The 26,344-nt window shown below is 37.2% G+C and overlaps 1 protein-coding gene and 1 long non-coding RNA gene across 9 annotated transcripts in view, besides 4 other annotated features; one reads left to right on the forward strand and one right to left on the reverse strand.

Moving 5' to 3' along the window:
- Positions 1–2,422: 2,422 nt before the first annotated feature.
- LOC414300 (uncharacterized) lies at positions 2,423–7,593 on the reverse strand. The gene is made up of 2 exons (NR_121211.1): positions 6,739–7,593; positions 2,423–2,671 (listed from the first exon to the last, which is right to left on the reverse strand). It is a non-coding gene; the product is annotated as an uncharacterized LOC414300 (long non-coding RNA).
- Positions 7,491–7,770: a silencer, noted in NCBI's record as "silent region_4804". NCBI's record gives its function as "represses an Ori minimal core promoter by ATAC-STARR-seq in GM12878 lymphoblastoid cells {active_cell/tissue: GM12878}" and the evidence as "EXISTENCE:reporter gene assay evidence [ECO:0000049][PMID:35858748]".
- The window catches only part of WASHC4 (WASH complex subunit 4), a 61,400-nt gene continuing 42,737 nt past the window's right edge, over positions 7,682–26,344 (forward strand). For 7 of the 8 annotated variants that reach the window (XR_007063060.1, NM_001293640.2, NM_015275.3 and 4 more), the window contains exons 1-12: positions 7,682–7,812; positions 11,076–11,215; positions 14,167–14,220; positions 14,313–14,378; positions 15,135–15,180; positions 15,612–15,679; positions 18,397–18,479; positions 20,506–20,548; positions 21,052–21,155; positions 22,069–22,189; positions 25,955–26,078; positions 26,186–26,313. Coding sequence is in view for 7 of the 8 variants with exons in the window: in NM_001293640.2 (NP_001280569.1) it covers positions 7,752–7,812; positions 11,076–11,215; positions 14,167–14,220; positions 14,313–14,378; positions 15,135–15,180; positions 15,612–15,679; positions 18,397–18,479; positions 20,506–20,548; positions 21,052–21,155; positions 22,069–22,189; positions 25,955–26,078; positions 26,186–26,313 (1,038 nt within the window). In the remaining variant the exon portion in view is untranslated. Of the gene's footprint in view, positions 7,813–11,075; positions 11,216–14,166; positions 14,221–14,312; positions 14,379–15,134; positions 15,181–15,611; positions 15,680–18,396; positions 18,480–20,505; positions 20,549–21,039; positions 21,156–22,068; positions 22,190–25,954; positions 26,079–26,185; positions 26,314–26,344 lie in introns of those variants that run through there. The other variant, XM_011538074.3, reaches the window with a different exon arrangement.
- Positions 7,791–7,950: an enhancer, noted in NCBI's record as "active region_6940". NCBI's record gives its function as "activates an Ori minimal core promoter by ATAC-STARR-seq in GM12878 lymphoblastoid cells {active_cell/tissue: GM12878}" and the evidence as "EXISTENCE:reporter gene assay evidence [ECO:0000049][PMID:35858748]".
- Positions 7,981–8,230: a silencer, noted in NCBI's record as "silent region_4805". NCBI's record gives its function as "represses an Ori minimal core promoter by ATAC-STARR-seq in GM12878 lymphoblastoid cells {active_cell/tissue: GM12878}" and the evidence as "EXISTENCE:reporter gene assay evidence [ECO:0000049][PMID:35858748]".
- Positions 9,789–9,948: an enhancer, noted in NCBI's record as "active region_6941". NCBI's record gives its function as "activates an Ori minimal core promoter by ATAC-STARR-seq in GM12878 lymphoblastoid cells {active_cell/tissue: GM12878}" and the evidence as "EXISTENCE:reporter gene assay evidence [ECO:0000049][PMID:35858748]".

The following is a 26,344-nucleotide window of genomic DNA, read 5'->3' on the forward strand; positions in this document are numbered from 1 at the left end:
TCTCCCAGGTTCAAGTGATTTTCCTGCTTCAGCCTCCTGAGTAGCTGGGACTACAGGCACGCACCACCACGCCCAGCTAATTTTTGTATTTTTAGTAGAGATGGGGTTTCACCATGTTGGCCAGGATGGTCTCAAACTCTTGACCTCATGATCCACCAGCCTCGGCCTCCCAAAGTGCTGGGATTATAGGCATGAGCTACTGCGTCAAGCCAGCAAAAAATTTTTTTATATTATTTTGCTTTTAGAGTTCAGATAAATCAGCAAACTTCCTACCTTTCCTTCCTTCCTCTTTCTCCTTCTTTCCTTCTTTCTTTCTCTTTTCTTTTTCTTTCTTTCCTTTTTTCTTTTTCTCCTTCCTTCCTCTCTTTCCTTCCTTTTCCTTCCTTCCTCTTTCTTCTTTCGTTCTTTCTTTCTTTCTTTTTTTCCTCTTTTTTTCTTTTTTTTTTCTTTTTTTGACAGGGTCTCACTCTGTTGCCGAGGGTAGAGTACACTGGTGCAATCACAGCTCACTGCATCCTTGAACTCCTGAGCTCGAGCGATCCTCCCGCCTCAGCCTCCTAAGTAGCTGGGGCTATAGGTGCATGCCACCACACCCAGCTAATTAAAACAAATTTTTTTAGAGACCAAGTCTCATTATGTTGCCCAGACTGTTCTTGAACTCCTGGGCTCAAGCTACCCTTTCATTTTAGCTTTCCAAACTGCTAGGATTACAGGAGTGAGTCACCATGCCCAGCTGACAAACTTTTTCTTAAAGGGCCAAGTGACAAATATTTTAGGCTTGTGGGCCATATGATTGCTGCTATAACTACCCAACTGCCATTTTAGTGTGAAGCAGCCATAGATGAAACACAAATGTAAATTATGTTTAATGTAAAATATGTAAATTAATGGGCATGGCTGTAGTCTGATATTTTATTTACAAAAGTAAGTAAAGTTTTACTTTATTTACTGATCTGCTGTCTGTACTTTGCTGACCCCTAAGTTAAAACATCTGAAAAATTTCACTTACCAGACAATTGGGCTCTTTGAAGAGTTTTGGTCACTGTGACATACCAAACAGAGAAAGTCCTGATTAAATACTGGTTGAAGAAATGAACAACTAAAAAAGCCATTTATTACATGATTTCTTTTATCTTTAGATTCCTTAACAAACAGTGCCATCTGTTGAAGAACTATTAGGAAATACTTTTCCTGTAAACTGAGTATTTACTACAGAGCACTTGAAAAAAATGACAATTATTGGTTCACTCATTCAACAAATACATGTTTATCATCTATGTACCTAGCATTATACTTGGCACTGAACTGTATCAAAGAGATAAGGTTTAGATGTTTATAGAGCATACAGACAAGTGGGAGACTATATTATTGTAAGCACAATTGGAAGCTGCTGGGGTAGTATTTCCTGCACCCCATCACATACATACATACATACATACATACATACATACATATATATATATATCACATTTTAAAAAATCCATTCATTCCTCTATGGACATTTGGACTGCTTCTGCCTCTTGGCTATTGTGATTAATGCTGCAGTGAATATGAGTGTGCAAATATCTCCTTGAGATCCTGCTTTCCATGTTTCTTGTTTGTTTTTTTGAGACAGAGTTTCGCTCTTGTTGCCCAGGCTGCAGTGCAATGGCGTGGTCTCCAATCACTGCAACTTCTGCCTCCTAGGTTCAAGCAATTTTCCTGCCTCAGTCTCCCGAGTAGCTGGAATTACAGGTGTGTACCACCACACCTGGCTAATTTTTCCATTTTAAGTAGAGACGGGATTTCACCATGTTGGCCAGGCTGGTCTCAAACTCCTGACCTCAACTGATCCACCCACCTTGGCCTCCCAAAGTGCTGGAATTACAGGCATGAGCCACCATGCCCAGCCTGTTTTTAGATATATACCCAGGAGAGGGATTGTTGGATCATACTGTAATTCTATGTTTGGTTTTTAAGGAACCTCCATACTGTTTTTCATACCAACTGCATCATCTTACAGTCCCACCAGCAGTGCACAAGCGTTCCAATTTCTCCACATCCTTGCCAATACTTGTTATTTTTTGTTTTATTGATAGTGGCCATCCTAATGGGTGTGAGGTAATACCTCATTGTGATTTTGATTTGCACTTCTCTAACAGTGATGTTGAACATCTTTTCATATGCTTCTTGGCCATTTGTATATCTTCTTTGGAGAAATGTCTATTCAGATCCTTTGCCCAATTTTTAAATTGTTTTGTTGTTGTTGAGTTGTAAGAGTTCTCTACATATTGTGGAAATCAATCCCTTATCAGACATATGATTTGCAATTGTTTTCTCCCATTCCATAGCTTGCTTTTTCACTGTGTTGATTATTTACTTTAACATGCAGAAGTTTTTAAGTTTGATGTTATCCAATTTTTCCATTTTTGCTTTTTTTGCTAAAATCCTTTTTGAAGGCATTGGAGACCCAGGACAGTGAGGATTCGAGGAACTGAAATTCAGGAGAGATGATCCAAAAAGTTGAGCTTGACATTTGGCACCACATTTCACCTCAAGACATCTGCTGATTTGTAATGTGGCAGCTGAGAGTTTATGAGGCTGGGGAGCCGAAAGCAGTAGCTGAGAGGTGGAAAAGCTGATCAGGTTTGGCAGGCTCTGCCAAGCTCTCCTGCAAAGCTATACCCTAGGACTGAGGTGATAACAGAAATAGATGAGCTCTCACAAAGACAGAAACCCAGTTTCTAATCAGAACAGTCCTAGACTGGGTTAAAGTAATCTGTCCCTACACTAATGGCCTTCCAGAAAATATAGTAATCCCCTCTGAAGAAAGATGACATCATTCAGAGGCTTAACTTATGTTTACAATTTTTCATACATAAAGGTCAAGATGCACTAAAAAAATTATCAGCTATACCAGGAAATAAGGCCAAATGATGGAAAACCAAGAGAAAAAGAAACAAAACATAACAAAAAAAAACATCACCAGACAACAGAAAAGAGACCCTCAGGAAATCCAGATATTGGAGTTATCAGAAAGTACTTCAGGCGGCCGGGCGCGGTGGCTCACGCCTGTAATCCCAGCACTTTGGGAGGCCGAGGCGGGCGGATCACGAGGTCAGGAGATCGAGACCATCCTGGCTAACACGGTGAAACCCGGTCTCTACTAAAAATACAAAAAATTAGCCGGGCGTGGTAGCGGGCGCCTGTAGTCCCAGCTACTCGGGAGGCTGAGGCAGGAGAATGGCGTGAACCCGGGAGGCGGAGCTTGCAGTGAGCCGAGATCGCGCCACTGCACTCCAGCCTGGGCGACAGAGCGAGACTCCGTCTCAAAAAAAAAAAAAAAAAAAAAAAGAAAGTACTTCAGGCTTCTTGACTTCCTATATTTACTGTAATTATTTTCTGAGTGCTTAACATGTATCAGGGACTGTGGAATGTGGGAATAAATCATGGTCCCTGATACCAAAGAGCTGATGGTCTGTATTAGGCTGAATAACAGGTGCCCAAAGATGTTCATGTCCTAATCCCTACACCCTGTGAATATGTTACTTTACATGTTTAAAAGGACTTTGCAGATATGATTAAGGTAAGGATTTTTGAGATAAGGAGATTATCCTGGATTATCTGTGTGAGCTTGATGTAATCACAAGGGTCATTATAAGAGGAAGGCAGGTGAATCAGTCAATAGTAGGAAATGTGATGGGAGAAACAAGAGGTTCAAGTAATGCACAGAAGATGAGAAAGGCAAAGAAATAGATTCTTAGTGTCCAAGAGGAATCAGCCCTACTAACACCTTTACTTTAGCCCAGTGAGACTGATTTTGGCATTCTGACCTCTAGAACTAGAAGATAATAAATTTGTACTCTTTTAACCACTAAGTTGGTGACAATTTGCTACAGCAGCAATAGGAAACTAATACATAACTTAATAGTGAAGATAATTATGTCAATAGATAACTTTGAAGTGGTAAATACCATGGAAGCACAGGGCCGAAGCACTTGGTCCAACCAGGAATTCAGGGAATTAGATATAACGGTAATCTAGGCTGGGCGCAGTGGCTCACTCCTGTAATCCCAACATTTTGGGTGGCCGAGGTGGGCGGATCACCTGAGGTCAGGAGTTCAAGACCAGCCTGACCAACATGGCAAAACCCCGTCTCTACTAAAAATACATATAGTGGTAATCTATATGATTCCACAATCACTGATAACCAACCAGTACAAGGATTTTAGGATCCCTTAAATAAAAGGGCAGATTGGAAGAAGCCTTGAGTTACATGCTATGAAGCATAAATTCCATACCATAGGCAATGGGAAGGATCTAAAAGGGCATGACCTGATCAGATAGGTTTCGAGAAGCTTCACACAGAGAATGTGGACAGTGGAGAGAGAAGACCTGTCACACATCTATAGTGGTTGTTCAAGTGAGGGATTACTTTGTAAATAAATACATGAATTAACATATTAGGAATTTTTTAAACAGATACACGCAGGATTCTGTGACAAACTACTAAGTGAAATGTCTCTAGTGAGTTATTGCCATAGAATTTCTATTGTAGGAAGAAGATTTTATTTATTTTAGATTGTATTTATTTATTTTAAACTTTTATTTTAGGTTTAGGGGTACATGTAAAGGTTTGTTACATAGGTAAACTCATGTCACGGGGGTTTGTGGTACAGATTATTTCATCACCCAGGTATTAAGCCCTGTACCCAATAGTTATCTTTTCTGCTCCTCTCTCCACTCCCACCCTCCACTCTCAGTTAGCCTCCAGTGTCTGTTGTTTCCTTCTTTGTGTTAATGAGCTTTCCTCATTTAGCTCCCACTTATAAATGAGAACATGTGGTATTTGGTTTTCTGTTCCTGTGCTAAGTTTGCCAAGGATAACAGCCCCAGCTCCATCCATGTTCCTGCAAAAGCTATGATCTCGTTCTTTTTCTTGGCTGCATAGTATTCCATGGTATATATGTACCACATTTTAAAAATCCAATCTGTCATTCAGGAGCATTTAGGTTGACTCCATGTTTTTGCTATTGTGAATAGTGCTGCAATGGGAAGATACATTCCCATGCATGTATCTTCATGGTATAATGATTTACATTTCTCTGGGTAAAAATCCAGTAATGGGATTGCTGGGGTGAATAGCAGTTGGAAGAAGACTTTTAATGTAAGTTAATAAACAAATTCACCAAGAACTTAGCTATATAACATATATGTAAAATATTTTGGTATGGAATAAACTAGAACTTAAGGTGTGGGTATATGGGGCTGTAAGTTAAAGGCACAGATTCCTAGGAACTGGCAGGCAGGCACCTTCTGTAGGCAGCTGTTCTAAAGTTCACAGAAGCTCTCAGAATAGCACAATATTGCCCATATGAAAAGTTTCTCCTTCTATTTCCAAGCTTGCTTTTCAGAAAGTACCGTGTGAATGAAGAGTAGTAGAATGAAGAATATGTGATTACTTAAAATAATGATTTGCCTTCTGCAGACTACGTCTAAGAACAATAGGACATTTTTATAAATAACTTTCAGATAGCACTTTTCATTTAGTGAATGTGCTTTTCTATTTGGTATCTAATTTGTAATTCTCTAACAAAATTTGAAATTATAGGCTGTGAAATTTGATTTAAACATATTTAAGATCAAGACAGAAAATCCCTGAGTTTTTTTTTTTTTTTTGAGATGGAGTCTTGCTCTGTTGCCCAGGCTGGAGTGTAGTGGCTCAGACGACTTTCCTGCCTCAGCCTCCAGAGTAGCTGGGACTATAGGCAGGCACCACCATGCCCATCTAATTTTTATATTTTTAGTAGGGACAGGGTTTCACCACGTTGCCCAGGCTGGTCTCAAACTCCTGACCTCAAGTGATCCACCCACCTTGGCCTCCCAAAGTACTGGGATTACAGGCATGAGCCACCACACTGGGACTTGTGAGATCTGGGACTTCTGAGATCTTTTTAAGATAAATCTATATTGATTCATAATAGCAACCTGGTACAGTATGTGGTTGGTATTGTTCTATGTACCTTATATGTATTAACTAATTTAGTCCTCGTAAGAATCCCACAAGGTGTTTACTAGTTTTATTTTATTTTCATTTTATAGATGAGGAAATTGAGGCAGAGGTTAAATTACGTGACCCAAGATCACATGGTTAGTAAGTGGCAGAGCCAGGATTTGGACCTAGGCAATTTGGCAGTCAAAACTGTGCTTTCAATTATTACATGACACTGCCTCTTGCTACTAATCTATTAACTTTAATAGATTAGTGTATTTATAGACTCAAATTTTTCTGACTTGTAAGTTCAATTTATCACAATGAGCTGCTGGGAGATTAATTACAGTGATTTAATGCAAATGTTAAGAATCCAGGAAAGTCAAACTCATGGTCACACAGAAAGTACAGGAAAAAAGTTTGTCAGCCATTAGACCCTAAGGATGCCTGTTCTTTTCAAGATTTTTTTTTTCTTTCTGAAATGCCCACTAAGTCTGCCATAGGGTCAGAAAGCAATTTTCTTACATGTTTTATAGTTTCTGCATCTAGCCTGGTGCCTGGTACCCAGTGGGCACTCAATAAACATTTAACTCAGGGCAGATCCAATGACCTCAGAAGAATGCTCTTCAATAGACCTTTTGCCTACATTGATTAGTTCTTTTCGGTACTTTTTAAGATTACAAGAGTAAAACCCTAATAAATTCTCATTGTTAAGGATTCAAAACACATAAGTAGACACATCAAAACTTGAAAATCCTGTTACTCACCAACACATGCTTTTCCCCAGGTAACCACCGTCCTCTGATTTGTCTTCCTATGAATTTACATACACGTAGGCACATACGCGTTTGTATAACTTAAAAACATAAATGTAATCACAAATACACATTACTCTGCAACTGTCTTGTGTCGGTTGTTCATGCCATTATAAATATATTTCATCTATTTTAGCAGCTCTTCAGTGATTCGTAGTATGGATGTATTGAGCTTTATGTAATTCACTTGTAATGAACATTTAGATAGTTTCCTATTAAAAACCACGTTGCTATAAATATTCTTGTGCAAATACGTGTATGCATGTAGAATTTTACACCGATCCCGATTCTCCAAAAATCCAAATTGCAGGTGGGATCATTTTAGAATGTACTTCAATAGCGTTCTTCATCCTGCCTCGCGTTTTTAAAAGGACTGAGTGGAGAGCGGGGAAGAGGTCGTAAGATCCCCTGTTAGGGTGTTCATAAAGTAACTTCTCCTCTCGCACAGAACGTCTTGACTAAAAAACAATCCGTACAGAATGTGCGGGAGAGCTGTAGGAACTCCTACGGTGGCGACAGAGAGGGAAACAGGCTTGTTGGAAGAAGCGCCTGGTCAGCGTTATCCTCGAGGATCATGCCTTCCTGTTAATTCCCCACCCCATCAATTCTACCTTTTTAGGTTAGACTGGGGAGTAACTTTCCCAGGTATTAAAAATCGTCTAGAGAGAGCAGGGCGAAATTAGAGTGCCGAAGTGGCTTGAGAAGCACAGTGAATGGTGGCGAAGCCCGAGCCGGGTCGCAAGACGCCCGCTGGCACTGCCGGCGCCATGGCGGCCGCCTTCGGCCACGGCGGAGGACTCGCTTTCCCAGGGGCCCCCGCGGTCGCAGGGGCAACGAGCCCGGCCGGCCCTCGCGAGCGGAGGCGGGGCCGGGGCCGGAAGTCACGTGCTGTGACAGTAGCTGGGGTGAGGCCGTCGTCGCCGCACGGGCTGGTTGGGGCTGTGTCTGTGGGAGGCGCCGGGGTGATGGCGGTGGAGACTCTGTCCCCGGACTGGGAGTTTGACCGCGTTGACGACGGCTCGCAGAGTAAGGGAGCTGCAGGGCGAGGGCTGCGGGTGGACGCTCCTTCGGCCCGCCGCTGTTCTGGGCTGGGCAGCGCTCCTGCGAGAGGGACGGCTGCGCAGCCGTCTGGTGCGGGACACTTCAGAGCCCTTGGGGTGTGCGAGGGACGCGCTCTCCAGCGTTACTTTCGGGGTTGGGGTCCCAGCCACGGCGGGTCAGGCTGCCCGTTCAGGGCTCGGCGTGTGAGGCGGAGACTCTCCTGGGGAGCCTGCGGTGCCCCGCGGGGAGCGGCGTCCCCCTTCAGCTGCCCCGGGGCTTGGGCGGGGCGCGCCCGGGAGGCCCAGCGGCCCCGGGATCCCAGGCTGCTTCTGTCTCTGGCCTCTTGGGGATTTCGCCAGATTCTGAGCGTTCAGCTCTGGAGGACGCTGATGTCTGGGTTCCTGTTTCGGTTTCCTGTTTTTCTTCTTTTCCTCCCAAATCAACTTTTGCAAGTTTGGGTGTCTTTCCCATCGCGTTGCTATAACCGTAGAAGGGAGCGAAAAAAGAACTTTTCACCCTGCGAAAATAAACACGTGAATGTCATTTTATCATTTTCCAGGCCTTTTATTTATGCTAAGTGATATTTTTCAGTGATGTTCTGCAGTTTCCATCGCAGTTATAAAGGCTTCAAAAATTACAGCAAATCTTCAAATTTTGCTTCACAAGATCGAATTGTCTGATTTTAACTTAGAAGTCTATCCCGAAATAAACAAATTGTGTTTCTTTCAGTAAAATATTGAGGCCAAATTAATTGTAGTGAAACTCTACTTGAAATAAATACAAGTTGGCAATCTGCTTCTTATCTTTGGTCATAGTAATCTGTGTAAGTGATCTAAGAGAGATTGGAGCATGCTGTTTGTGATTTTTTTTTTCCCTCATAGTTTTCCCAAAAGGTGGAACGTTGCTTTTAAAAATTCCGGATGAATTTTGCTTGATTTACGAAGAGAGACTAATGCCTACAATGTTAGATGAATTAGGTTTTACAAGTCTCTCAGAGAAGAGTGAGCTACATCCAGGATGGGTTGCAGTTTTTCACAAAACATTCCTGAGGTCAGGAGTTCAAGACCAGCCTGGCTAACATGGTGAAACCCCGTCTCTACTAAAAAATAAATAGCTGGGCTTGGTGGCGAGCGCCTGTAATTCCAGCTACTTGGGAGGCTGAGGCAGGAGAATCGCTTGAACCCGGCAGGCGGAGGTTGCAGTGAGCCGAGATCGCGCCATTGCACTCTAGCCTGGGTGATAATAAGGTATTAGCTCTTATGCAGCATAAAAATTAACCTTGGAGATAATGACAAAATCTTTTAATTTTTTTTTGTGGAGGGGATTCTGTATTGTTATAAAGTGAACTGTACCTTGTCATATATGTTTTATGGACAAAGATGACGAACTGGTATCTTCAAAAAAAATTGGAATAGAGTTATGTTAATTGAGTTTGAAAATGGTTCAGCCTGGAGTAGAATGGTCTGATTCACTCAACAGATATTTTCTACAACCAGTGGCTGTGCTAGATATTAGGGATAAAAAGATAAAACAAGGAGTGCAGTCTGTTGACAAAGATGAGCATGTTAAGTAGGTTTTTGGAATTTTTACTCTTAAAAAATTACCATGTAGTTCTTATCTCAACTTTTGTTATTTTAACTTTCACCAATTTTACAACCGTTTATTGTCAGCAAGGAACTTTTAATGTTATTTTAGGTTTTCTGTTTCCTGTTTGTGAATCCCTGAACATACTAAAGGAGTGATTTATTGGCGTGGTGTTTCTCTAGCATTGTCTTTTTTTTTTTTTTTTTTTTTCGAGACAAGGTCTCACTCTGTCGCCCAGTGCCGTGGCATCGCCACGGCTCACTGCAGCCTCGACCAGCTGAGCTCAGGTGATCTTCCTACCTCAGCCTCCTTAGTAGCTGGCTGATTTTTTCTTTTTAAATTGGGATAGAGACAAGGTTTTGCCATGTTGAACTCCTGGTCTCAAGCGACCCACCGGCCTTGGCCTCCTAAAGTGTTGGGGTGAGCCACCATGCCCGGCCTAGCATTGTCTTTAAGAAGTCATTTGCTGGTCAAATGCAGCTTTGACTGGTCATTTCCTGTGTAGTTGAGAATAAGACAACTATTTGGGGTTCTGAGAATCTGGGCAGTCTTATATGTAAGCTGTAGGGAAGAGAACACCTCCCTGTGCTTGGCGTTCATTAATTTTTGGTCTGTGAATCATATCTAGACTAATTGTTTTCCAAAATTGCCTAGATTAATGCTATAATAAGACAGAAACCTTAATGAACTAAATGGATTCACCGGATTTAAAACTTTATGTGGTTGAAGAATAAAGGAGAGTGGGGGCTAGGTCTTTATACTTTAATACAGCATGAGTCAGAACACACTTTCTCTTACTTGCTTCACATTGCTAATTTGAGGAGAGCAAATTTTTACCTTTTTTAGAAGACAAAGGTTGAATAAAGTTATTCATATCAATAAAAGAAACTGAGTTGGAGTTGAATTTGTTACCTTTGGGAACAAGTAATGAATTTTTATGTGTAACGTGAAATACTTTGACGAATAGGCATATTTTAAAATCCAGCTTATTCCAATGATTCCTTAAAGTTACCTATGAATGTGTTAATTCTGTGAAGAACAGCATAGTATTCTGTAGTCAAGCAGTGTTCTTTGCTGGTTTTTCCAACTTGATTATGACAGTTAAATAATTTAACAAATATCTTGGTTAAATTTTAGACATTATAGAAATAATATGCTCAAGCAGGTATAAAACCTCCATTTAAAAATATTTAGGTGTATTATTAAACATTAGTGTGTATAGAATTAAAAACTACATTTTTAAGTGTTACTTCTGTGACAGACTGTTTTTTTCACCTTCAGATCATGAATATTTGTTTTTGCAAAAGAGTTGTTCATGACTAAAAGATAGAATCAGGACATTGAATTGTTTAAGGCACTTTTCAGATTGGTTCAAAGCCCTCTATTATGGGGGTAGATGGGCTAGTGGCTTTTTCATAATATGTTAGGGTTTTAAGGTAGTAACTTTATATATGGTAACATCTACTGCTTTTAAAATTATTTCGTGTATAGAGAAGATTGAAAGCTGAATTGTTGTTTAACTTTGGAACTTTATTTTCAGGAAGTCCAGACATTCCAGAGTAATAATTAACAGTGCTTTGCGTGACTTTTGAGGTTATTTGAAGTAAATGTCCTGCAATTCATTACTTGCACTTATCACATACTGTTTTAAAATTTAAACTTAGAAATTCATGCCGAAGTCCAACTTAAGAATTATGGGAAATTTCTTGAGGAGTATACCTCTCAACTGAGAAGAATTGAGGACGCTCTGGATGACTCAATTGGAGATGTTTGGGATTTCAATCTTGATCCTATAGCATTAAAGGTTTGATTTGATTTTTTAAAAATATATGTATATATTTTCTGGACATACTATATCCTGAAAACATAATTTTTTAAAATGGAAAAAGTATTTTTATTTGAAATCTAAGAACAAAATGAAAGTTGGAGAAAATTGTTAATTTCCTTTTCTCTAAGCCATGCAGATGTTTTTTAAATGTGTGTGTTTTCTGTTTAAGAATGACAAACACACAGCCTTTAGTGTCAAAGAATGACACAAACTCCAAGTCTTTGAGCTTGCCTTTGATTTTCATTATTAAGAAAATGAGGGCTGGATAGAATATTCAGGCTTTGTTTTTTCTTGATTGAGACTATTTTACATAGAGTGAAATGCAGATACTCTTAATTTTGCCAAACACTTGTAACTCATATCCCAATTAAGATAGAGAATATTTTCACCATTTCTGAAAAGTTCTCTCATGCTATATAGATGTTAATGTGTGAGTAATTTTTTAATGTATAAAATACATTACTCTTTCCATTTTGAAATATTTCTTTTATCTTTAAAATTAGTTTGTTACCACTTGAAAAATAATTTACATTTTATTGAGCACTTGTGTATTACACACTGTCCTAAGTCACACACTGACTTGTTTTTATAACAGCTTTCTTGAGATATAATTCATATATCATACAATTCACTCATTTAAATTGTATAATTCAGTTGTTTTTAGCATATTCACTGAGTTGTACAACCATCACAACAGTCAATGTTAGAACGTTCTCAGCCCCCAAAAAAGAAACCATGTACCGTGTGATAATCAACCCCCAGTTCATGCCATGGCATACCTGCCCTAGGCAACCACCAGTCAATCTACTTTTTATCTCTATGTGTTTGTCTCCTCTGTACACTTCATATAAATGAAATCATACGATATGTGCTCCTTTGTTGCTGGCTTCTTTAACTTATGTTTTCAAGGCTCATCTATGTTGTCACATGTTTTTAGTACTTTCTTTTTTTGCTGTTGCTGAATAATATTCCATTGTAAGGAATGGATAACCACATTTTATTTATCCATTCATCAGTTGATAGACATTGGATTTTTCTACTATTTGGCTGCTATGAGCATTTGGGCACATGATTTTGTGTAGACATATATAAGTATATTGTATATAAAATGTGTGTACATTGTGTGTATATTTTATACATATGTATATATGGGAGTGGAAATCCTGGGTTATGTGGTAACTATGTTTAACTTTTTGAGGAACTGCCAGAATGTTTTCCAATATGGCTATACCATTTTACATTACTACCAGCACTGCATGAGGGTTCCAGTTTCTCTACATCCTTGCCAGCCTTTATTGTCTTGATTATATTCTTCCTAGTGAATGTGAAAGCTCATTGTGGCTTTGATTTGCATTTCTGATGGCTAATAATGTTGAGCATCTTTTCATGTGCTTATGGCCATGTGTCTGTTTTCTTTGGAGAAATGTCTGTTCACATCCTTTGCCCATTTTTAAATTGGGTTATCTTTTTAGTATTGCATTATAGGACAAGTATTGACTTTTAATTCCCACCACAATCCTATAAAGTAGATACAATGTCATCTCCATTTGTAAATGAGAAAACTAAGGCATAGAAAAGTTAAGTAACTTAGTCAAGTAAGTGACACATTTAGTTAAATAATGAATATCAGGCAGCTTGACTCCAGAGCCTGTGCCCTTATCCAATACCCTGAACTGCCTCACAAATACTTTATATATTTGTAAACTGAAATTACTTTCCTTTGACTTCTTTTCTTGCAGGCTGGATAGACTTAGTCTTACTTTAAAAATCATCCCCCCCCAAATTTGTAATTGTCTCTTTTTGTTCCTCAACACTTCTGTGAGAATCATTGTATGTAAGTTATAGGAACTCTACTAGGAAACTGTCATTCTCAACCTGTACTATCTCTGAGGGTAATAAGTTTCATATATCTGTCACTTGGCATTAAGTAATACATGTTGATTTTTTAAACAGATGCTGTTGGGCTTTCTCGCCATTAAGTAATACTTGTTGATTTTTTTAAGACTTGCTGTTGGGCTTTAAGGGCCTCTTCTAGATAGGATTATAAAATCTGTTTTTTTTCTCAACTCTCAGATTTTATAAAAGGGTGAAATCATCTCTTAGTTTTTATCTTCCCCTACAGAAGCTTTCTAATCTTTACAATCTTATTATATGACAGACTCCATCTCCGCAGTTGCTCTCTTCGGAACCTCTGTTTAAGTTCTATTATTGGGCAGTTATTTTATTGTTTTTACTATACAAGGTTCTTAGTATTTTGGGAAAAACCACAAACTCAGATAAAACCTCTGTAAACAAAAATTACAACCTAATGAGAAAGGGTATATAATAACTTACTTGCATAAATAGTTAGTTAGTATGTAACCAGAAGGGAGATCTGAGATTTCACTTGATAAATAGATCACATATAGTCAATGATCAGGAAGAGGTGGAAATTGAACGGGCTTTAGGAGTGAACTCCACATACTATTTTAAGTGTTTCTGAGCATGGATTTATACAAGAAAAGATGTATTTTCTGTCTTGTTTCATTCTTAATTTATTTTGACCCTTTAGCTACAATATCTTATTAAATTTGTGGCTGCATAGAAAATTCAAAAATGATGAAAGGTTTTTCCCCATGATCATAACTAATGGAGTTTAATAATGTTACTATTACCTTATTACCTTGCATTTTCTTATACTGCACTCATAATCAGCCACCTTATGCTCCATAGGACAAGTAGAGTCGTGATTGTGTCATGTTGGGCCATTTCTTTCCTTACGTGTTGTCTAATGAGATTGTTTTGGATGAAGTAGTTGATATGGTGCTAATGTTGAGTACAGGATCTAACACAAGTTTAAGTCGAATAAAGCTAGCCTCAATTTGTGTTTTTAAAATTTCAGTTATTTTTCAAATTAAAAGAAATGTTCTTTTCCTTTGTTTCTGTAGCTTTTGCCTTATGAACAGTCCTCTCTTTTGGAACTCATAAAGACTGAAAACAAGGTACAGAATCCTAAATCTAAAAAATTGTTTTAAAAATGTTTTAGTTATCTGTAACAATTTACTTTTTATTTTGTTTTTACTCATGAAACTAGGTCTTAAACAAAGTCATCACTGTTTATGCTGCACTTTGTTGTGAAATCAAGAAATTAAAATATGAGGTAATTATTTGAATTCTTGTCTTAAAACTTTAAAAACATCATTTAGAAGCAAGTATGTGTTTATATATGTACAGTGTGCAATAAATATTTATTGAATGTTGAATGAATTATTTATTTAACGTAATACTAATACGGACTACCATTCATTGAGTACTTAGTATGTACAAAACACCAGGCTAACACTGTAATCCTTATAGTAACCCCAGGAGGTAGGTGAGACATTGATGAGGAAACTGAAGCTTAAAGAGAGTGTCACTTGCATAACATCTTACTGGTAGTCAACAGTTTGAATCTAGGTTTACAAACCTCCAGAGTTTGTGTTACCTGCCATATATACTGGCTATCTAGAGAAAACTGATTTTTTTTTCTTAAAATGCATTTAGTTTTGTGTTTCCTTACCCAAGAACCATTAAAAGTCTGGTAGAAGTTGACAAACTTCGTATTTTCTTCTCCTGCTTTTTGATACCATGTGGTTGCTCTTTATTTCCCATAAACTAATGGGAGGATGTGGGACAGTGAGGGTGGTCAGATAAGATGAAGTAAAGGCTAAAGGAATCAAGATACAGCTTTGAGTATCAGTAATATTTTTGTTACTCTAAAGATGAATTGCTTTATAAACAGATTTTGAATTTAAATGAATTTGTATGCAAATGATGTAGCCCTCTGTTTATTACTAAGTATACAGATCTAAGAGAGCATAGGAATTTGGAAACAAAACAACCTTTAAAATTATTTTAATTTTTTTCTTAAAAACAGGCTGAAACTAAATTTTACAATGGTCTCTTGTTTTATGGAGAAGGAGGTAAGTTTAAAATTCCAAATTGTGATGCCTTTTTGATATTGAAATGAACAAAAAGTTAACAGACAATTTTAGGACTACTATGATTATATAATAGTGTGAGAAAAATAAGTATTCATATTTTTTGTTGGTATGTTTGGTAAACAGGTAAAAAAGCTGAGGAAGCAGCAGCAAATTTGTGATATCTTTGTACTTTACGAAGTACTGTAGGTAGATGAGAATTTTCCTTGAATTCATTAAATAGTGAAGCAAATACTTCTAATTATTTGATTAATGATTGTCTGATTTTTCTCTTTGGTGTAAAAATTCTGTTTTCAATACTATGCAGAGTAAAAGATGTCCTAATGAAAAAAAAAAACTTTTCCCCCTTTTTTGGTATTGATTGAGTTTAAATTTAAAAAATGAAATATGCTTATTCATGTTGCCTTTTACAGCTACAGATGCCAGCATGGTGGAAGGTGATTGCCAAATTCAAATGGGGAGATTTATTTCATTCTTACAGGTAACTGATTTTTACTTTCTACTGAGCTTTTACTTCAAAAAGTTTGAGTAAATTACACAACACGTAAAAAGTTCTGAAACCTTCAAATACTAAAGATGTGTACTCTGAGGATAAGACACTTAATTAGCATTGGATTATAGTTTAGGAGATCATAACTCCTAAAAGATTTCCAAGTATTTTTAGAGGAAAAAGCTATCAAAATAAGTTTCTTTGTGTATATTTCTTTATGGACAACTTGTCACCATGCCTTTTAAAATAATTTAAACTTTGTACCCACTGGAAAAGATAAATTGTATCAGGAAAAGTTGTTAACGGATAGGAGAGAATTAAGCTATTACATGAGCAATGATGAAGTTGTTTAAAGCGGTAGCCCTCCATGCTTCTAACAGCTTGTTTCAGTTTAGATAGCTTCTCATCACTGCCAGTTTTAATGATTGTAGGTCCTTTGGTTTACTCTTATCAAAAGAATAAAATGGCTTCTATTTCCTCCTCTGTGATAAAAATAGTGCATGTACGATGTGAAAAAGCAAAAATTGAAGCTAAGGAAAAAATACCCATAGTCCCACCTCCTTTCTGTTGTTGAGTACAAGATTTGATATATTTCATCAAATTAGGCATGCTAACATACTGTTCAAATCTTTTATATCTTTACTACTTTTTTTGGTCTAATTGATCTAATTGAGAGCATTTTGTTCATATTGTGATATGTGTTATTCAGGGTCCTGTCTAGAAAACTCCATACAAGGTATTTCAAAAGATGTAGTTTGGAGGATACAAAGTAGCAGATATGTAAGATGAGTAAGTCTAGAGATCTGATGTACAACATGAAGATTACAGGTAATAAAATACCGTATATGGCATTCATGCTGAGTAGATTTTAGCTGCTTTTGCTACAAAAAAATGGGTTAGCTATGTGAGATGATGGATTTGCACTTGACTATAGTAACCTTTTTATTATCGGTATGTATCCCATAACATGTTGTATACCTTAAATATACACAATAAAATGTATTTAAATAAGAAGAGAGGGGATTCAATATAGAGAATTGGTTACCCAGGAGTTGGAGGACAAAGAAAATACTGAGGTGTAGTCCAAAGGAAACAGATACCTCCTTTACATCCAGAGAACAAAAAGGATAAAGATTGGGATTGCCAGGATCTGGGAGCTTGGAGAAGAAGCCCCATGAAACTGATGCCTATGCTGAGGTGGCACTGCCTATCTGCTGCTGGCTTCTTTTCCAGCAAGGTGTCTAAAAAATGTAGTTGGTAAGGTCCCAGTAAATGTGGAAACTTTGCATTTTTCATTTTGAGGGTATTTTATTCAGTGTGTACAAGTTTAGAATTGTTAATCATTCCTGGTAAATTGAATCTTTTATCATCATTTGTGACCTTCCTTAGCTATGATCATGATTATGTGTATATGATTATGTATATGTATTTTACATGCATAGCAATTTACTGTACTGATGCTAATCAAGTCTGTTTTGTCTGACAGTATAATAATAATGCTGCCCTGGCTCCGTTTTAGTTAACATTTTCTTGATTTATCTTTTTCCATTCTGGCAGCCTTTCAGTGTCATGTTTTAGTTGGGTTTATTTAAAACCACATATATCTAAATTTTGCTTTTTTAATGTAGTCTGACAATACCTGTTTTTTAATCGCTTAATTTATTCTGTTTCTAGGTCTATCTTATATAGTCTGTATGTATATCTGGGCTTGTTTCTGCCTTTTTACTTTGTTCTTTCTGTTTGTCCTACATTTTCTCTGCTTTTTTTAAACTTCTAGAAGTTTAATAGGACATGTAAAACTATAACTATTTAAAAATAAAATGCGTTATTTATTTTCATTTTAAAAAATACTTTACATCATATTTAGATCTCACAGCTGCATAAAAATTCCGTTTTTAAACATTCAACAAATATGTTTTGTAAGCCTAGTATATGCTAGAAACTGTTATTGGTGCTGGTGATATAGCAATGCACAACACCAACAGAAATTCCTGTTCTCATAGAGCTTAAAATTTAGATCAGCATAGTTTTAATTAGGTTTTAAATACTTCAGATACACACTGTTTCTATAGGTTTAAAAGTTGAGAGCTTCTGAAAATGGATTTTCAGAAAGTCTAGGATATGTTAGATATGAGCTAATTATTTAATGACAAACATATCCCTAGGATAAGTGATACGACATTTCACTTGCTGTGTGCCAAGCCTGCTTATACATACGATTACAGGTGATCAGTGTTTGAAGTTATTTTACAGTGACTTCTGGAAACCCCTTCCTGCCATAGTTGTACTTTCTATACTGGCAGCTTTTGAGCTCCTTCACTCACTCAGATGTTTATTCATGTAATAGGGTAGAAATTTATTGAGAAGCAGTTGAGTGTTAGTCACTATGCTAGGCAGTGGATATTCAAAGAAGGAATGAGACAGCACCTATCATTTAGGAGTTATATAAGTAACTACAATATTAGACTTGAAATAGGAGTATGAATGAAATGCAGTGGGAACAAAGAGATAGGAACGACCCTGGAGTACAGGAGGTGAGTTAAGTATTGATTGCTTGAGGGATGCTTGAACTTGTCTGGCTTTTGGTTAACTGGAGGCTTTATTGGAAAACTGTTTTGTTTTTGTTAGAGTTGTTACCATAAAATTCAGTAAAAAATGGTGAGATTTAAAGAGTAACTTTATAATATATACCCACCTTCTCGTTTCAGGAACTGTCTTGCTTTGTTACGAGGTGCTATGAAGTGGTGATGAACGTAGTCCACCAGTTGGCTGCCCTCTATATCAGTAACAAGTAATGGATTTTAGAAATATTTTTGCTTTTATAATAGAGATGCAGAAAATGTTCTTTCTAAAATTAATAACTTGTAATAGTTTTTCTTTCATTCAGCATTCTTTGAACACTTATGATATTTCAAACACTACTTGATGTGTATCATACGTAGGTTAGTAAGATGCAGTTTCCACCATGGTGAGCGAACCCATTATCTGTCTGAATGACAGTGTCTACAGAACAATCTTCAAGAAATTTGACCATATAGAAGAAGGCTAACATGGAATTAGTACATGTTCTGTGTTCTCTCTCTTTATTCCTTTCCTCTACACGAATGGTTGCCTGACTCTAATGGAGTCACTTGAGACTTTTCTTAGACTACAGAATCTTGAGGGATGGAGCTAGGGAATCTACATTGAAGAAATTTTGTGAGTAGTTCTAATGGTCGTAAATATACCCAGTAAAATATACCTTAAATATACACAGTAAAATTTATTTAAATTAAAAAAGGGAATTTAATATGGAGAATTGGTTACATGGGAGTTGGAGGGCTGAAAGGACAAAGAGAACAGTGAGTTCATCCGGAGGAAACAGATACCACCTCTCCATCCAGAAAACAGAAAGGAAAAGATTGAGGTTACCAGAATCTGGGAGCTTGGAGAAGAAGCCTCATGGAATTGGTGCTCGTGCCACTGAGGAGGTGATACTGCCTGGCTGCTGCTGGACCATTACCCTAAATCAAGAAAAACGATCACATTTTCATAGAGCTCTTGCAGTTTTACCACAAAATAATATCTCATTTGATTAGTTCTTTATACTTAAAATTTTTTTTCCACACTTACAATCTAATTAATACATTAACTTTGTTTAGCTCTATGTCTAGGGATTATTAATGATGAGAAGAGATAACTGATACCTGGAAGAGATAACAAGAGCAATTTTGGCACTGTTCTTTTGGTCACCAGCACATTCATTGTTCTTACTATACCATGCTGCATATAAACTCTTTATACTGGAGTGTTAACTGTTTCTTATTCTCCCATTTTCCCCCTCAGTTAGGTATTTATTTTATGTTCTGTCTTTTCACTAAAGCTCTCATGGCAGGAGAGAATGAGAGTATAGCTTCCATACCCGCTGCAGTACCTGATGGGTAGTTCTAAGAAGACTCCCCCTCATCCTACCCCTGCCCTAGAAGGATGAAATTTATTTGAATTTTGTGTTTAAATTTAAAATATGCATTCTATCTTGTGGAATATCTATATGTGCTTTAATATTATAAGCACTATTTAAAACTTGTTGAGCAAAATGAGTAGGAGGTAGAAGTGAATTTTTCTTTGACTTTTGACTTTGGTATAATTCTAGTAGTATGCACTGTTTTTCAGTAGGGATGAGAACTCAAACCCAACTGAAGAGAGGACTGATTCCTAAAGACCAGTTTGGAGGCTGGGCGCGGTGGCTCATGCCTGTAATCCCAGCTCTCAGGGAGGCAAGAGGCGGGAGGATAGCTTGAGCCCAGGAGTTCGAGACCTGCCTGGGCAATATAGCGAGACCCCCTTCTCCACAAAAAGGAAAAACAAAACAAAACAAAAAAACAAAAGACAAAGACCAGTTTGGATAGGATAACAAAAATTCTAGTTGGTAATTGAGAAATTCTAATAGTTTAGAAAGATATGAATACCACTTTTAATATTTCTCTACCTTTATTCCAAGATAAATCATTTGGGTTTCAATGGGTAAGGTTATTCATAGGTCACCTATCATCATAGCCCTACCCATGAGTGGGATATAGGCAAGAATACTATTAGGTTGGTGCAAGAATTATTGCTGTTTTTGTATCACAGTTACTTTTGCACCATCCTAATAGTATGCACAAAGTAGTTCTCTTCTTGGGAAAGTGGACTTGACGCTCTTAAATTTTAAATAACTAGAGCCTTAATAAAGATAAATATTAAAATTCCAAGATCATCTGCTCCTGTATGTATTTGAAATAAGAATAAACTATGACAAAAAGGAAGTTTTTTTTAACTTGGTTGTTATTTTATTATAGGATTGCACCCAAAATTATAGAGACAACTGGAGTTCATTTTCAGGTAAAAGACATTTAGCTTGACCTGTAAAACTGTAATTATTACTATATTTTACTTTGGAGTTTGTATGGTTGGAGAGTATGACAGTCATAGGAACACTCTTAAAGAGGCGTGTGTGTGTGTGTGTGTTTGTGTGTGTTTGCATTTGTTCTCTTTCATCTGTGAAGTTGATGAGTCATTATTGACCATTATCAGTGTAACTTAGTTTTTCCCAGTAGTGCCGTAATGCAGATTCTCTAAATGATGTCTTTGGACAGTGAAATAAATCTGCAGTATTGCAACTAAGGATGAAATTTTGTTCATCTTAAAAAGAGAAAAGTATTCTCTATTTAAGACTAAAAGACAAATAGTCCTTTCTGAGGATCCAACCTGTAGCTGAATAAATTGATTTACCCACTACTTTTACTAATTCAGTAATCAGCCCAAATGATTTTACTTTAAACGTCTACATGAGGCTTAACTTCTAACTAGTGACTAAATGATAATCATTAAAGGTTTTTTGACAGACTATGTATGAGCACTTGGGAGAACTGCTAACAGTTTTGCTCACCCTGGATGAAATTATTGATAATCATATCACACTGAAAGACCACTGGACTATGTACAAAAGGTACACCAATTAAAATATTTTAAAATGTTTCTTACTTTGGTTAATGTATTTGTGTTAGTAAAAAGTAAACAGATATAAATAATACAGATTTTCTAAAAGACCTGGGGATTGATATTTAGAAGGAGCTCATATCAAATATTTTTATGACTACAGTAACCATTCTTTAATTTCACATGAGTTTGTTGGGACGAGTATAATACATCTGTATAAAGCATCCTAATTCTTATAGTAGTAGAAAGTTAATTTGCCTAGCTTAGGACTCAGATTTATTGTTTTCCTTGGGTTCTATTCAGGTGACAGTTTTTTCTTCTTTTTCTTTGTTGAGACAGAGTCTCACTGTGTTGCCAGGCTGGAGTGCAGTGGCGTGATCTCGGCTCACTGCAACTTCTGCCTCCTGGGTTCAAGTGATTCTCCTACCTCAGCCTCCCAAGTAGCTGGGACTACAGGCGTGTGCCACCATGCCCAGCTAACTTTTGTATTTTTAGTAGAGACGGCGTTTCACCATGTTGGCCAGGATGGTCTCCATCTCTTGACCTCATGATCCGCCCGCCTTGGCCTCCCAAAGTGCTGGGATTACAGGTGTGAGCCACCATGCCCAGCCCGACAGTTTTTCTTTCCTGAGCTTGGTTTTATTTTATTGTATACCCTGAATTTTTTTTAGACCATGGTTTATTTTATTCATGTTCTGAGTACTTATTAAATGTCTGGTATGTACAGATTATGAGGCATTTTGATTGAAGATGATATTAAAAAGCGTAAGAAAATCTATTAGGATTGTTGTGTTCAAATTTTCAAATGTGTAGAGCCAAACAAGAAATATAAATATAAAATTTTGACTTCCAGGAAAATTTTTAATTTTTAATTTAAGAATTTATTAGGTAGATTTAAGATGTTTCTCTTAATTTTCCTCAAGGTTACTGAAATCTGTCCATCACAATCCTTCAAAATTTGGAATTCAGGAAGAAAAATTAAAGCCATTTGAAAAGTTCTTGCTGAAGCTAGAAGGGCAATTACTGGATGGAATGATATTCCAGGTAAGTAGGTCTGTATCAGACTGTAACAGTGGGGCTCATATTAGACGACAAAGCTCAGAATTATAGTAGGACACTTTTATAATATACTGTTGAATATAATTTTCTTTAAAAAGTGCTTTGGCTTAAAATTATTGTTACAGTACTAAAATATTTCTGTATCTAGTAGCCAACAAAATGAATAGTATATTAGTTGTATTTGGAGCAAGAGTTTTAGAAAAATTATGTAAATGGATAAAAATATTTGAGGATTAACATCTAATCTTAGTAGTTAGGTATAGGCATATCTTGTTTTATTGCATTTCGCTTTATTGCATTTCCCAGGTAATTGCATTTTCTACAAATTAAAGGTTTGTGGCAATCCTGCATCAAGCAAGTCTTTCATCGTCATTTTTCCAACAGCATGTGTTCACTTTGTCTCTGTGTCACATTTTGGTAATTCTTGCAATATTTTAAACTTTTTCATTATTATTATAGCTGTTATGGTGATCAGTGGTTTCTGATGTTACTATTGTAATTGTTCTGGGGTGCTACAAATAGTGCCCCTGTAAGATGATGAACTTAATCGATAAATGTTGTGTGTGTTCTGACTGCTTTATCAACTGGCTAGCTCTTGTCCTTTCTCCCTCTCTTCAAGCCTTTTTATTCTCTGAGACACAACCATATTGAAATTAGGCCAATTAATAGCCCTACAGTGGCCTCTAAGTGTTCAAACGAAAAGAAGAGTTTCATGTCTCTTAATCAAAAGCTAGACATGGTTAAGCTTAGCTAGGAAGTCATATCAAAAGTAGAGATAGGGCCGGGCGCGGTGGCTCATGCCTGTAATCCCAGCACTTTGGGAGGCCAGGCACGCAGATCACGTGAGGTCAGGAGTTCAAGACCAGCCTGGCCAAGATGGTGAAACCTTCTCTCTACTAAAAATGCAAAAATTAGTAAGGTGTTAGGGCAAGCGCTTGTAATCCCAGCTACTCGGGAAGCTGAGGCAGGAGAATCGCTTGAACCTGGGAGGCAGAGGTTGCAGTGAGTCAGGATCACGCCATTGCACTCCAGCTTGGGCGACGAGGGAGACTCCATCTTTTAGGGGGGTGGGGAAAGCAGAGATAGGCTGAAAGTTAGGCCTCTTGCTGTGACTAGCTAGCCAACGTGTGAATGCAAAGGAAAAATTTTGAAGGAAATTAAAATGCTGTGAACACACAGATGATAAGAAAGTGAAACAGCATTACTGCTCATATGGAGAAAGTTTTGTTGGACTGAATTGAAAATCAAACCAACCGCAACATTAGTTTAAGCCAAAGCCTAATCCAGAGCAAGGCTGTAACTCTCTTTAATTCTCTGAAGGCTAAGAGAGGTGGGGAAGCTGTAGAAGAAAAATTTGAACCTAGCACAGGTTGGTTTATGAGGTTTAAGGAAGGAAGCTGTCTCCATAACATTAAAGTGCAAAAGCAGCAAGTGCTCATGTAGAAGCCAGTAAGTTATCCAGAAGATCTGGCTAAAATCACTGATAGAGGTGGCCACACTTAGCAACAGATTTTTCAGTGTAGATGTAACAGCCTTCTATTGGAAGATGCCACCTACATCTTTCATAGAGGAAAAGTCAATTCCTGGCTTCAAAGAAAGCCAGTGCCCATTTGCCATTCTGAAAATCTTAGGGCCCTTAAAAATTATATTACTCTACTCTGCCTGTTCTCTGTAAGTGGAACAACAAAGCCTGATGACAGCATATCAACATTGAGGCAAGACCCTTGGCCAGCAAAAAGATGATAGCTCACTGAAGGCTCAAATGTTAGCATTTTTAGCAATAAAGTGTTTTTTAATTAATATACTTTTTTTTAGACATAATGCTATTGCATACTTAATATACTATAGTATAGTGTAAATATAACTTTTTTTTTTTTTTTTTCGAGACGGACTTTCACTCTTGTTGCCCAGGCTGGAGTGCAGTGGAGCTATCTCGGCTCACCACAACCTCTGCCTCACGGGTTCAAGCAATTCTCCTGCCTCAGCCTCCCGAGTAGCTGGGATTAAAGGCATCTACTACCATGCCCAGCTAATTTTGTATTTTTAGTAGAGATGGGGTTTCTCCATGTTGGTCAGGCTGGTCTTGAACTCCCGACCTCAGGTGATCTGCCCACCTTGGAAATTGGTGTCACTCATGTTTTTGTGCTGGTTGGGAACTGAACCTATGGTTTCTGTGAGGTGTGCCTGTATTGTGTTTGCTGTTAACCTCTAGGTTTAGGTTTTTTTTGGTTTTGTTTTTGTTTTTGAGATGGAGTCTTGCCCTGTCACCCAGGCTGGAGTGCAGTGGCGTAATCTTTGCTCACTGCAACCTCCGCCTCCTGGGTTCAAATGATTCTCCTGCCTCAGCCTCCCGAGTAGCTGGGATTACAGGCGTCCACCACTGCACTCAGCTAATTTTTGTATTTTTAGTAGAGACGAGGTTTCACCATGTTGGCCAGGCTGGTCTCGAACTCCTGACCTCGTGATCTGCCCACCTCAGCCTCCCAAAGTCCTGGGATTACAGGCATGAGCCACCATGCCCGGCCAGGTTAAGGTTTTTAAGACAACCCTTAACAAGTCTGTTTAATTCTTCCTAGGCCCAGGGAATGTAATTTGGGTTTGCACAGTCTAGTATGGTAGCTTCTAACTACATGTGGCTATTTAAATGTAAATAAATTAAAATGAAATACAAAATTCACTTTTTTACTCACGCTAGCCACATTTCAAGTCCTTAATAGCCACATATAGTTAATGACTAGTTATATCAGACAGCACAGATACAGAATATTTCCATCATCACAGAAAGTTCTGTTGGAGAGCGCTGCTTTAAGCAGGTTCCACTCGAAATTGCATTATATTCCATTTATAATATACTTCAAGGTTACCTTTAGTTTATGTTTTACATGATCACAGTTTTTAACCGATTGATCTCAACTCTTGTTTACAGTTGACCCTTTGAATAACATGCTTTTGAAGTGTGCACGGGTCCACTTATATACAGATTGTTTTTCAATAAATGTATTAGAAAATTTTTTGAACATTAGCAACACTTTTGAAAAAAACTTGCAGACAAATGGCATAGCCTAGAAATATTAAAAAAACTTGAGGAAAAGTTAGGTATGTCATGAATGCATAAAATATATGTAGATACTAATCTATTTATGTGTTAATTGACTTATGTTATCCATAAGGCTTTTGGTCAACAGTGTGCTATTACTAGTTAAGTTTTTGGGTAGACAAAAGTTATATGAAGATTTTTGACTGCACGAGGGTCAGTGTCCCTAACTTTATGTTTAAGCGTCAACTATATATCAATTTAAATGTTAGTTCATTAGGTTAAGAAGATAATTTTTTTGTTATTGATTCTTTTTCCAGGAGACATTTCTATACATGCTATAATAAAGTGCTAGGAAAGTAATTGTAAGCAGAAAACATAAATTCTACTCTTAAAAGTGCAAAGTAAAATAAAAAATATGCTTTATCTTTTATACATCTCTGAACATCGTGTGTATCTCTTTATACAGGATTATAGATTTGGGTTCAATTTTATTACTTTCACATAACTAGTACCCAAATATATAAATACATATATATTTTTCATTCACAAAGATCTAAATATTAGATTAGATTAAGAACCTGAGCTTTAGTTTTAGTAAAATTTAAATGATGAATATAGAAATTTATCATACACTGTATTTAGTGTATGATATTTAAATGTTTAATCGTTTATTATTGAGAGTCTGAATTTCTCTTTCAATGTTTCCTGTCTAGGCCTGTATAGAACAACAATTTGATTCTCTCAATGGAGGAGTATCTGTGTCAAAAAATAGTACTTTTGCTGAGGAATTTGCACATAGTATTCGGTCAATTTTTGCAAATGTAGAAGCCAAACTTGGTAATGTAAATCGCATTTTTTGGTTTTTGTTTATAAAATTTGCATTTCCTTAAAAGCATAATTGAAGTATATTTGTTCTGCTTTCTCTTATGTTATTGATTTGTAAGGAGAACCTTCTGAAATTGACCAGAGAGACAAGTATGTTGGAATTTGTGGACTCTTTGTATTGCACTTTCAGATTTTTCGAACTATTGATAAAAAGTTTTATAAGTCTTTATTGGACATTTGTAAGAAGGTAAGAACTTGAAACTTATTTTTCAATTTGA

The sequence above is a fragment of the Homo sapiens genome, chromosome 12 (assembly GCF_000001405.40).
Source record: "Homo sapiens chromosome 12, GRCh38.p14 Primary Assembly".
NCBI classification, from domain to species: Eukaryota; Metazoa; Chordata; class Mammalia; order Primates; family Hominidae; genus Homo; species Homo sapiens.